Below are 14226 nucleotides of genomic sequence, written 5' to 3' on the forward strand. Positions count from 1 at the left end.
AATATACATGCCACTTTCTGTATCAGATTTGGGTCCCAAACTGATTTCTGTGATTTACTTATGTCAGAGAAAATTCACCGTGAGCCATCTGGCTCTGTTAATAAAAATACAGTAATGTGTGTCTTAAAGATTTATTAAAAATTAACACACTTTTCCATTTCCAAATTGGTCTAAATTGAAGGAACTGGAAAGGAAGAAACTTTCTGACAACTAATAAACTAATAAGAAAAAAAAAGTCAGAGTGATATATGAGAAAAAGGAGAATTGAAGATTTGAGAGTCCAGGATGAAAAAGACATGTGTCCACTAGATCAATATGATCATAAATTTCCTTAACTATATTTGTAAGTTTTTTCCAACCCTCAAAAGAGTGACCATGTTAATGTATATGGTAATGCCAAGGCTAATGAGATAAAGTTTTTAACAGGCTCTTACAAAGGAAGCTAAAAGACAATTCATTTAGTGTGAAATCATTTTCCAAAAAAGTACCGTAATACTTTAATCTTTTTTTACTTTTTAGACATTTCATTATCTAATTCATGAGGAAAAGAAGATAAAAGGCTTAAGATTTCAATAAATGTGTCACTGGTTTGTCAATAATATTTATTGACAGTAACATTTACTCAATGTCTTCTGAGGGCAAAATATCAGCTACTATTAATAGGGTCAAAGTGATTCCAATCCTTGAAGTAACAATCTAATAAAGAAAATGTGTTAGAGAAAGCCTAGAAATGAAGCATAAAGGTGAGATGGGGATTTATCTTTTAACTCTCTCTTTGGTGCTAACCCCCAGAATAGTTATGTTACTTAGACAGTTTTAATCCCATTTGAGTTCTCACTGGAAGGGAAACTGAGAAATACGGAACACCTACTGGAAAAAAAGCATAATACATTTAAAGCAATTAAGAAGCCTCACTTCTTATAGAGGAATGCAGGGGGGTGAGGGTGGGTAAGGAAGGAAGGTAAGTTCCAGATGGTTCCCATTCAAAATTAGCAGGTATAACTTAACCTTGCTGCAAGAAATTGTATAAAACTCTTTGGTTCTCTTACTTACTATAATAGATGGTAGAGGACATTGTTCACAACAGAATGATCTAGAGCTGGCCAGGTTTTGGTTATTGGAATTTTCATCTTTAAATAAGGGACGAACTAAGTAAAAAAAAATAATTAAACATGTCATCACTCCATCTATTTAAGTTGTCCAGATTTTGCATGCTGGAGTATTTTAAGAAATTTATGAAAGTTGCACTTATTTTTGATTGAGAGTTATACATGTTTCACAGACATATGTTGGTTTATTTCAATTTTGATATTTTGCTTAAAATAATTTTGGTGTTTTCCTGATTTCTATTTCACATAAAAATAAATTTAGCCTGAGCAGAAGATGAATGCTGACGAAGCCAACTACTTTTTCAGCAGAGTGAAAGGAAACGTCACTAGAGGGAGAGAGGAGTTAAGGGGCTCATTTCTGCAGCTTTTCAAGTGACTCTCAAATTTAAGAATAAAGGGGCTCAACATTAAACCCCAACTCATTGCTAAGAGGCCTCTGCTGACCAAACCTCTGTTTTTAGGGTTCTCTTTGAATGACGACTCAGAGAAAACTCTTGGAGCTCAGTTTATTTGACTTGGAATCACCTGGTGGACCACACTTAGGTCTGAAGTGAGCTTGTGGTTTTAGACACGCCAAGACTGTAGCCTGGTTCTTAGCAAGGCTCTTTTGTAGGGTGGATTCCATTTTGGGGCCAGCTCCCGGGGCACATACCCAAACCTGAGCAGGCCCCATATCCACTCTGTTCCACAGTCACCTCAGATCTTGATCTGAGAGAAAGCTGCATTGTTTCAGCACCAGGATGAGAGCGGAGAACTACTTTAGAATAAGATTAATGAGGTTTCTGTGAGTACAGGATAAAACAACATCCCTAGTTCTACCATAGAGGGATTAGAAGGATCCAAGACATGTCTCTGATTAATTCAAACTGTTCACTTGATAAGACATAAACTATATGTAAGAATACCATTTCCAAGTCTTTCCAGTTAAATGTCCACTTGAATATTCAGCTAAAACCCAACTAATTGCTATTATTACTCTTAACAGAAGCAACAATCAAAGACCAAAGGGCTTATTGCATTCCAAGCAAATCAGTGCAAAATGAACAATATCTCAGAACATCCTGACCATTTTCAAATAGCAAGGATAGAGGAAAATATAGGCACCTAGACTGAAAATGACAACAAAAAGATTATCCGTAAAATAATCAAAATCCAGCTGATATCAGATGTTTCCTCTGTAACAAGAAAGGGCAGAAGACAATAGAACAGCATTACAGTATTCTCGGGGAAAAGATTATGAATGAAGGGTTTGACCTCATTATGTTGTATGAATAAAGGCAGAAGAAGAAAGGCAGTTTCATGTAGTCAGGGGCTCATAACATACACCCCCAACTCACTCTTGTTGAAGAATTCACTTGCAGGAACCATGGAACCCAAGACCAGTAAAATCAGGCACTAAAGGATTGATAAATGCCTTGGTGAGGTGCCAAATATCCAACTCATCACAGGAGTGTGCAGGGCACTACACCTGAATGAACTTGTCACATTGACAATTCTGCCGAAAGAGAAAGGAGGTGCTGTTCATTTCTCTAATGGCGTCTGGATGAAACTTGAAAGCAAATAATTTTATCATGAATCATTATCATATATTATGGGAATAACCCTGTAATTCATCACAAGAATTTCCCCTCCCTCAGGCAGTTTTACCGCTAGATTTATAAGTTCAATTAAATGCAAATGCATTACAAATAAAACAACATTTAGGTAGGCTTATAAAAGATTGTTACAAAATATACCAAAATTGGATTCTTTGACTTTTGGGGCAAATGGATGCCTTTTATCCTTCTTATTTTTTTTCACGTTTTCCAATTCTTTAATGAGCAAGCATGTCTCACTTTGTAAACTGACATCTAAGCTTAGGGAAGCAAGGAACATTAAGAGTGTTTCCTTGGGTTTGGCCAGATGCTTTCTCATCGAGGTTCCTAAAGTTCAAGTCCATCCTGAGATCTAAGGTCAAAACTGTCAACTAATGCTTGTGTCACTGCCACTGGACAACTCCTACCCAAATTGAACAATATCCTATGTTCAGGTCTTCTGCTTCCTGGGCTAGCTGTAGGAACCATGAGCCCAGGACTCAGTGACACATGACTGAATGATGAGGCCAGAGTTTGCCCGAGGTTCAAAAACAGACTACATACAGGAAAACAAGAGAAACGTGAACCAACAAACAAACTCTCGGAATCCAAGGAGGAAACAGAAGGTGGCTGAATAGAACACAAGGGAGACAAACGCAGGGTGACAGTGTGGGGAGCAGCGATGGAGGAAAAGGGGCGTGGTGTGCAATGAGCATTTATTCCATACCAAGCTCCTTGCTAGAAAATTTCCCCTATGTTAGTAATTGTATCTACATAGCATTATTTTTTCCCAAAAAATACTGAGTAAGCTCTGTGTGCATGAAAGCAAGGTCAACGTGTACGGCTGGGCAGGTTACATACTGACGCACCCCTGAGGAGTGGTTCTCAAAGATGGGGTCCCTAGACGAGCAACGCTGGCATCGCCTGGGAACTTGTCAGATATACACATTCTCTGACCCCAGAATCAGAATGCTGGGAGTGAGGCCCAGCCATCTGACTGCTAACAAGCCCCCCATAAGATTCTGATATTCTGATGAACACTACTACAGTGTGAGCAGGTGAGTTAGGGAATGCCATTCATACTGTGATCACTGTCCATTTATTGATGAAAATCTTGTGACAAAAGTAAAGCATTTTGCAGAATCTACCCATTTCTAATTCAGACAAGGGTCACATGGACTAGCAACCATCCTAGGATGGAAGAGGCATCTCCATTCCACAGCAGGGCAAAAAGGACAAAATCTCAGACTCTCCATCTCTTACTGGAGACTCTTTAAATTCCCAACTTTTTATTTTATTTATTTATTTATTTATTTTATTTTTTTTAAAATTATACTTTAAGTTTTAGGGTACATGTGCACATTGTGCAGGTTAGTTACATATGTATACATGTGCCATGCTGGTGCGCTGCACTTTAATCTGCCACCAGGCAGATGTCTGGTTCTGAAACAGGTGTGCCCACAAGTTCCCTCGGTGGCCTCCTGACCCATAAAACATCCCATACTTCTACTGCCCATTACATTCCCCTGTTGAGAAAAAGCACAGAAGGGGAGCCATCATTTTCTGTTTGCACATTTCAGTGGCTTTGCGGACACATATGGGAAAAGGGCATGAAACTGTAAGTGATAGAACTTACACTCATGGGTCTTGAAAATACTGCACTGCATGAAGCCTCACTTTGAGAGAGAGTTCTTTAACTCTGAGGTTGTTTTCAAGTAACAAACTTTAATTAGAAAGTTTAAGTTATTGCAAACCTAAAGAATCTTAGCTTGTTCCACTTTGCTAATTTAGATTATTTTATATTTAAATAATCATAACTGGACTGTAATCACCATCTACATATATTGACTTGATTACGATTGTTGACATTAAGTGGCATTAAGATGACCTTTGAAATGTTACTTTCCCTTTCCATTAGAGGCTTTGTGTAAGGTTCTAAAAATGAAAGGCTCATTAGACACCATTAAAATAGGATTTATTCTATATGTGTAACCAATAATTAAGTAGAATATTACTCCCTCCCCTAATTAGTTACTTAGAGTGCTGAGAAGCATAAGTTCATATTCAAAGCAGTAGTAACAGCAAACCTTTCCTGATCGGGTTTCCATACCATTGCTGATGTCAACTAAACCCAAACAGAAAGGAGTCTATGATGCCAGACATGCTTTTTAAAATATACATTTGATTTGAATTAAGGCTTAGTGTTTGTGACCCTGGGAGGTACACACTTTCACAATTCCATCAATTAAGACCAATTAATCCCATTAGTGATGGCTGATGTTAAGACATGCAGCAAGAACTGACTGACGAAGTATATGCCAGTTCCCATCTCCACATACAACCCAAAGAGAAGAAAGGCATGGGCGGGAGGATCAGCAAATACTTCTAATCCTGCAGATACTGTCAAAGTGACTTCCACAATAAGTCCAAGAGTTCAAGTCCACTTGAATCAAGCACGTACCTTCAAAAGCTGTAAGTGAAAGATTACTTCTGTGACTCAGAAAAGGATGGTCAAAGGGCCACCTTACACACTTGAGGAGAGGTGAGAAATTTGATGCATGAATTCAGCTGGGATTTAGTTCTGGAAGCTTCTTTCTAGAGCAGGCTTCCCAGCTTCACCTAGGAGACTCGTTAAAACACAGACTCTGCCTCAGCAGGGCTGGGTGGGACCTGAGATCCTGCATTTCTAACAATCTCCCAGGCGACACTTCTAAATGGTGAATGTTTGGAGCTTATACTTTGAGCAGCAACATTCTAGGGATCATTAGGTCACCTTAATCTTGAAAAGATACAGTTTGGTGGGATTTTAAAAAGACGAAATAAAATAAACAAAAGAACTAGAAAACAAAAGAAGAAAGGAAAGAACTAAACTGTGGTAGTCTCACACCTTAGGTGGTGAAACAGTTAAATCTAATTTTAAAATTTAGGTGGGAAGATAATAGGAAAAAAAAAAAGTAGAAGAAAGGTCAGAAAAAAAGGACCAAGAATCACAAGAAAGACTGTAGAAGCACACTGGGGTCATCTGATTTTGCTTCTCCTTCGATGGACTTCGCATTTGGACATACGGGTCACCTCATGCCACTCTGGTTTCTGTTTCCAGTGCATTCTTAGACTGGATGCATTTACATGCTCTAGCAAATCTTAACATTTACATCAGTTTGTAGAAAGTGCTACATAAGGGAGAAAAAGAAAATCATTCAAATGTTTTGAGGCTTTTAAAAAGTAGTTCATGAATCGATTATGTGGAGTAATAGGGAATTCCTTCTGCTCCTTGTTTTGTTGGGACTAATAACTCCACAATGGGAACAGAGAACATGTCTCTATATATTCTTGCTTTGCAATTTTACTCATGTTGCAGTCAAATCACCCGCTTGTCCTTAACAGGGCACTGAACTCAGGAGTTACTGTGTTTCCTTTTGGTTTGCTAAAAGGTAATATCTGATTTTATAACATTTCAAAGGTTCTACCCAGAGTAATAACAGCCTCATTGGAAAATTATTTAGGGTTGTCCCTGGTTAATTTGAGAGTCCTCTTAACTTCAGGGAAATCAGTGTAACCCAAACTGAGTTTCCAAAGGTTCCAAGTATCTAAATAGATTTGCACTTGCATTTCCTACAACAATCTTCAAAGTTTCCCCGACCCTGGGTTTAGCTGGGGCAGTAGGAGGGGAGAAAAGGCTATGACACTTTGGTCTCAATGAGTCAATCACTCACTGAGTGCGTGCCGGTCATCTGGCATTCTGAAGTGGCCTACAGTCCTCATTTATCCAGATTATCTGGAACTACTAAAATTTTTGTAGAATTAATATCAGACTCTTTCTGTCATGTTTTCCTAAACTATAATAAAGAGATTCAAGTTACTGTGTTTTTCCTTATTATTCTGGTGTACAAAATCGGCCTATTAACTAGCTCATAAATACAACTTCCTGGCTTGTTGCGCTGCTTATTTTTGATGAAGAAATCTGTATAAAACAAGGGTTACTGAAATGGACAGTACATACACGTTTCTTATTGGTTTAAAGGAATATGTTGCTTTTTAACATTTGGGTCATGAGGAAGCAGCTGATTCTTAAAAAGGTCCTTGAAATGAGGTAGCAAATTTCATGAGAGTTCGGCTTAAAAAATGAAAATGAAAAAAATTTTTCAAGAAGCCACAAGACAATGTAGAGAGAAATATGTTATTTCTGTGGCAACATTTGAACCATATTAAATTTTTATGGAAATTATCAAGTGTCTGGTTTGTAACAATCGAAAGGTTCTGGGGACAAATGGAACCTCATCATGGGCATTATATCATAACTGGGAAAAGAACATTCACAGTGCAACATTGATATTTAAGACATATCACATGGCCCTTCTCTAGCTATTCTATACATACAAGGTATCATATATTATTCATGTTATACCAATACAATGCCAGAAGACTACAATTGCAAGTGAATAATTATTTCTGTGAGTGGGTAAATAATGAAAACTGGTTGCCTGGAGGTTGTGTAAACACAACAGTAAGTTTTTGTTGCTGCTGTTGTTTATTAGCACTGATTTCATGCAATCTGTGAATACATATCCATAAGAGCATGTATACTTCAGGGGTTGACAGACAGCAAAAAATGCATTTGATAACACGCCAGTAGAGCAAATATGTTTTATGGCTATGTAATTAGGTCTGCATAAACATACCTGTCTCAGTCCATTTTCTGTTGGTAGAACTGAATACCACAGACTGGGTAATTTATAAAAAATAGACGTTTATTTAACTCACAGTTCAGAAGACTGAGAAGTTCAAGGGCATGGCAGCAGCATTTGCTGAGGGCTTTCATACTGTGTCGTATCATGGCAGAGAAGCCAAAAGGGAAGTTGGCATGTGAGAAAAGGGGGCAGAACACAAGAGGTGGCCTCACTTTACAACAGCCTGCTTTGGAGACAACTGATGCAGTCCCACTAGGGTGAGAACTCGCTCACTCCTGTGACAATTAGCCCAGGCCCATAGGAGCAGCATTAATGCCTCTTAAAAATCTAACCACTTTTTAAGGCCCCACCTCTCAGCACTGACACATGGGGGGACCAAACTTTCAACATATAAACTCCAAGCATCATACTCGAACCATAGCAAAAGCTAAAAGCAACCAAAGTATTTGATTTTCTGTGTACCTGTGTTTCTGATTACCACATAGCCAACTATAATCCATATACATGTATCTATAATATATGAGCATAATACTTCTATGAAATATAAAGCGTACAAATAAAAGCAGTGCTCAGATGTTTTACTACTCTATATTAAAGAAAAGAATTATTTCAGACTCTTAAGTACAAGCAGTATACCAAGCGACCAATTCCCTCCTCCATGAATGGACCATGAACATATTGAGTTTCTTGCACAATGAGTACTTCATTAGGCTCTGCAGATGATGCAAAAGTAACTTTGGTTTTCATCTTACCTTTCCTGCATTCATAATGTGTTCCAGGAGATAGACATACATGCAGAATAAATTTGGAATCTGACCCTGCTTGCTCCAATACCTCCATATTATTTTCTATATATAAAAATGAGATGGCTACTGGGGAGGTGAGGAAACCAAGAATTCATTCTTTCGATTTTAGGCAATATTTTTGTATTAAAATAAAAAAGTCAGAAACATTCTCTATGACTTTAGTTTCTCCAAATGATCTGCCTCGGAAATATATTTTCAACTTTCAGAAGTCAGATAGGGAAAGATGAAGTAAAAGGCAACTAATTAAGCAAAACAAAATAAAAAGTAGAAAAACAAAAAAAACAGAGAGAAAGAGACACTACAGGTCAAAGAAGGGAAGGGGGAGGAAGAAAGTATGAGACCTATGTCTTAGCACATATGGGATCAGGCCTCTCCCCTCTTACCTGTTCCCCCACATTTCCCACCTGGGCTCCAGGCCAGCCAAGCTGCATTCCCTAATTAAGCAGCACGTTGCTTTTTGCCTCTCACCTTTGCATATACTACTTCCTGTGCCTGGTAACATCCTACTGACCCTTTAGCTTGGTGCCATCTCCTCTTGGAAGCCTTCCTTTAGGCTTCTGCCAAGGCACAACAGATCAGTGCCCACACATGCCCACCATGCTTTGCCTACTGCCTTGCTAACACTTGGAAATATAGTAATTGGATTGTTTGTTTCCCTACTAGGCTGTGAGCTTTATAAGAACAAGGTACTGAGTCTTATTAATACTTTTGTTGCCAGCTCTAGGTACAGTGCTTGGCATATACTTGGCAAGTGATTGTAGATTATTTGCTAAATAAATGCTAAGGAAAATGGAGAAAATGAACTCCTTGTAAGAATGCATATTGATTGCCTAGACTTCCTTGTGTAGTAAGCTCATTAAGGCTTTTTAATTAGGTAGGGTTGGTTACTGCTCATGATGACATCAAATGGTCAACACTGCAAAAGCTTTTATAAAATGCATTTACAGGTTTTAGATGCTGAATTTTCATGTCCTATAGAACTACTGTAAAATGTATCTTTAAATATTTGAATATTTAACCATGTAGGAAAAATACTAATAACAACATATGGTTGTATTTTTGTGAATGTGATGCATTTACTTCTTTATTGATATTCTGAGAAATTTGTAGCAACAACTTGTGAAGTAAGTGAGCTGTTTTCCTACCACTCCCTTTTCCAAATCTGAGCTAGATACACAGATCTATTGGGAACGTGTTAGTAGCAATAATTCAAGGCACATAAATGTGTGCCTTCTCATACATAAAGGAAAAGAAACTGTTTTAAATTGCCCTTTAAAAGCTGAGCTAATATGCTGTCAAATATGCCAGGGAAGAGCCTCTCATCAGAGTTTCTCATGCAAAGAAAAATGATCTTTTCGACCTTGCCCTGAGTTGCCCTGAGTCGAGTGTCACCAAACAGCAGGTCAAGCAGTTTCCCACGACGCCACGCCTCTGTCGGCCATCCTACAGCCAACCCCTCACGACGCCACGCCTCTGTCGGCCATCCTACAGCCAACCTCTCAGAATGGGAGGCAGGGACTCCAATCCAGTGTCCCAGGTTATAACTATGCTTGGCTACAGGGTCTGTGTTCAACGCACATGGGCTGAAGCAAAGCCTTGGCTCTGTCTTCCCTGTTGGCAATGGACTTGGCTGCCCAGTAATTAATTGTCTTTGACTGCAAAGATGAGAATTGCCACTTCTTGCCTTCAGTTTTATTAAGAATTGGCTTGCTTGGTTTAACAGAACTAAGCAATATATTTATTTACTATGGTGTTTCCCAAAACGATTGCTGAATTCTGTCATCTCTTGACTGAGAAACTGTTTGCGGGTTGCAACAGAATGTATGCTAACATACATACAGCAACACAAACCTCCAAGACAAACTGTTTAAGTCAATTTGCTTATCATATAGGCACATAGGTGCAAATATGTGCATATGCATTTGTGGGTACAGCCATGGGCACACACTTTAACACTTGCACACATATCCCACACAGATTCTGTAATAAATGTGTGTGTTTAAGATCTGTGTGCAGGGGTGTAGAAGCAAGCATGAATTTGCCAAGAGAGAAAAGGAAATTCACACACGAAGAGAATAATTTACCATAAATTGGCCCACACTGAGTTTATTCCAAAAAACGGAGTGCAAGATGCCAAATTTTTAATGGCTCTTGCTATTCCAGATCTGGCCCTGACAAGCTTTGGAAGAGATGCAAGTGGGCAGGAAAGATGGGATTAAAAAATTATATCTTAAGCCTTTTCACTTTCAAATGTAAAATTTCCACCACTGCGACAAGACAGGGGGAAAGAGAGTGGCAGAGATATTTTCCTGACACTGTGCTTTTCTCAACAAAAAGCCATCGATTTCCATTATGCACTTCTTAAATATAAATCCTGTACTTCTTGTTAAAAATCATCTGTGACTGGCTGCCTAAAAAAGAAAGAGATATGAAAATAATGGAACTCAAAACCTTGCATTAGCCCTGGCGGCCATTACAAAGGGGTGATCTCAGAGTGATGCCTTCACTGCAGCTCCATCGTCCTAGGATTGACAATCTTTTGTGACAACCCACACTGGTTCATCAAAACCATTCACTTGCTTCTAAAATGCATCATCTCCAGTTTCTTTTCTTTCAAGGTGGAACTTTTCTGCATAGCTTTCCCATCACAAGCCTAGCTGGCACACAGCAGGGACTCAGAAAACCCTTCATTCTTTCCGCTTGCTCTTCTCCTTTCTTGTGCTGATTTTAAACTACTCTATCCCATTTCTGAATGTCTCTTTTGGCTGATGAGGAAATCTCTCTCACATTTTACCCCTTCTTCCTATATGTTCACTCATGGCTAAGAAACTGTCATTAAATCCATTAACTCTTTCCATCGATGACCTTTTGGGTCTTAAGACCCACACTCATAGTTATTCAATCACTGTCATGCCTGCAGTGTACTTTGATCCCTATAATTCTTATGAAAAATACCTTGGCTCAGAATTGTAACCTCAATCCCCCTGACTGTTCTACTTAATACACCTTCCACCCCCTCTCTCTGGAACCTGACTCAAGTGATCCCAGGAATAATAAGTCTATGAAAAATTCTGCCTAAAAGTATAAAGTCTAGGGTAGATGAAACTATTTCATCATCTTAGTTTAAATTTGATGAGAATATGGGTCTAATTATTTAGAGTAGTTGGCCTTTGCATTGAATTTAAACTACTGTTGTTTATTATTTCCATAAAAAGTAAAAGAATGAGCAAAATGAGTTGTTTCCATGATATGTTTCTTCCTTTATTTTATCTCTTTGTCATCTTACAGAGCCAACAATTTTGGCTGGAAAGTATCTAGCACATAGTAAATTCTCAATAAATGTTACCCATTATCATCAACATCCATCCACATGTATTCAAATTATCTAATATTATGGTTCTCATTTTACAAGTAAAGGAAATTGAGACATAGAGAGGTTAAGTGACTTGCCAAAGTCACACACAACTAGTAAGTGAAGAGCCTCAACTAGGATCATGGCCTTTTGGCTCAGTTATTTAACCAAGTATTCCCTCCGTGTAATTCCAAAGGAATGTTATTTTTCAAGAGGTCAAGGAGATAAGAAAAAGAACATGTCTCAGAAGGAATCCAGTTGCTCTCTTTCTTTTTTTCTCTTACAAAGTAAAACATATTAATAATTTAAATTCACAAAGACTGACTATCCTAAATTATACTAATCATTCTCATCAAAATCTGAGCACAGCGTTAAACCATTAGCAATGACTAGAAAGTACTGTGAGCCTTATGTTCTTGGCATGATCTTCCTTTTTAACTAACTATACTTCTCAAATAAAAACAAATGCGGTATGCATCTGTGAGCCACTCAGAAGCCTGGGCTGCTGAGAAAAAAATGCAAAGTGATACCTGGCATAAAAGAGTCAACATGACAATTCTAGAAGAACCTACAAGATTGCACATTCAGCCAAACAACGAAATATCTTACAGCGAGATCCCTTTTCATTTTATCAAATATAGGATCCTGAGGATTAATACAAATTTACCAACAGTAACAAAACTTGGCCCTCCTTAGGTGCGTACTTAGCTTACCTTTTCTTCAAAGTAACTTTACTGGTGGGAAAAAGAAAGATGTTTTCGAAGTTCCCATAATCTAACAGGTGCCTAATACATATTAGGTGCTCAACAAATTGTCTTTTTTGGAAAAATAATAAATCAATGGAATATTTGCCTAAATATTTATTGTAGCACTTTCAAGTCTCTTTGAGGCAAAATGCCTCGAGAAAGAGAAAAATAGTTCATTTTGCTATTTTCCGTTGGTGGATATAAGAATCCAATCTGCGTCATATCAGAAGACACATGGCTATGGATTGTTCCGTTGTTAAACTTGGCCTAGACCTCTCCTCTGAATGCCAAGCCCTACTGCCTATTCAACATCTCTACACTGAGGGCTCACAGGCATCTCAAAGTACATATTCCAACACTTAACAATGACCTTTTCCCCCAGAGCCTTCACTGCCTGCTCTCTATTCACCCAGCAGCGCAGCCCCAAAGCCTACAAGTCATTTTTGACATTTCCCTCTCCCACATATCCATCTCTAATCTCCAAGTCTGCAACTATCTCTCAAACATAAATACTTCTCTCCATCAATATCTGACCTTCCCTAAGCTAAGCCACTATGGCCTCCCACCTGGTCTACTTCAGTGATCTCCTAATAGGTCTCCCCCATCCACTCTTGTCCTCACCCACCATCTAGTGTCACACTGCAGCTGGAGTCACTTTTGAAAACTAGAAATCTAATAATGTTCCTCTTCTGTGTAGAATTCTTCAAAGATTTCCCACTGGTTTTCAAATAAAGCCCAAAGCCTCGCCATGGCTCATACATCTTGCTTGATGTGGCTCCCGCCTACTTCTCCAGCCTCATCTTCACCTCTCCTCCCCTTCCCTTTGCTCCCTCAGCTCAGTTTCTCAAGGGCACCATGCCCCTTCCCACCTCAGGGCATTTGCACATGCTATTTCCTTTGCCTGGAAAAATGTTTCCTTCTTATTTGCCTGGTTAAATTCTATGCATTATTCACAGCTTAGTTGAAATATTTCTTTTTCAGAAAAGCATTCTCTGTCCCAGTGGTTATGTTTAGTCTCTCACATATATGCCCTTATAGCATCCTCATGGAACGTGAGTCCGCTAGGACAGGAACCAGGCTTGTCCCTTTTCATGATGCAGCAGCATGTGTAGTAAGCACCCAATGCAGATGTGTTGAATAACGGACAAGTGACTTGTTAAAAATTAAAATGCAAGTTATTCATATTAAAATGCTTTCTTCCTCTCTTCTCCTCCCTCCCTCGCTTTCTTTCTCTTTTTGAAACTATGCTTCTAGGGCTTAAAATCCACTCAGAATAACCATAAATTCATAGGAACAGTATTTGTTCTAACAATGGGGAATAATAAAAGATGAGACAAACTTACAGAACAGACCCTCAGGTCTGGAGACCAAAAAAATGTTTGTGAAGCCCTCTATAATTTCTAAGTTCTACATGAAATGCATGTTTTCTAGATTCTAACTGCACACACAGAAATATCTCAACTCATTTTGACAAAGTTATCCACCAGGGAGATGAATAAATAGCTTCACTAAATACATATGGTGCAATTACACCCAGCAATAAGTGACAACAGGTCTTGCTTTATAGTAATCTAAAAATTCAAAGCCCAATTATTTCAGCTGCTCAGTAAATAATACTGAAAAGACGTGGTAGTAAAGCAACTTAAGAACATACTGTATTAGTAAACACTAATGATCTCTTTATGATCCACAGAGCCACTTCTTTTTCTTCTGAAGAAAAGAAAGCTTTTTGTAAATTAAGAAAGAAAAAAAAAAAAGCAAGGCATCCATGAGCTACAGCCAAGAACAAAATGAAAGCAGGGAGTGCTCCTTTTGATCTTTCAAGAGTAGTATTTAGTTAAAGAATGTATGCTGGACTACAGAAAAACATGACCAGAAACATGAGCATTTGAGACCTGAAAAATAGACCACTGGCAGCTGGCCCTTTAAAAAATATATTTATAAGAAAAAA

General features: G+C 38.4%; 1 protein-coding gene across 12 annotated transcripts in view; it reads right to left on the bottom strand.

Annotated features, from left to right (window-relative positions):
- Nucleotides 1–14226, bottom strand: part of GLIS3 (GLIS family zinc finger 3) — a 666339-nt gene that overhangs the window by 113251 nt on the left and 538862 nt on the right. The window lies entirely within an intron of this gene.

Source organism: Homo sapiens, chromosome 9 (assembly GCF_000001405.40).
Source record: "Homo sapiens chromosome 9, GRCh38.p14 Primary Assembly".
In the NCBI taxonomy this organism is placed as follows: domain Eukaryota; kingdom Metazoa; phylum Chordata; class Mammalia; order Primates; family Hominidae; genus Homo; species Homo sapiens.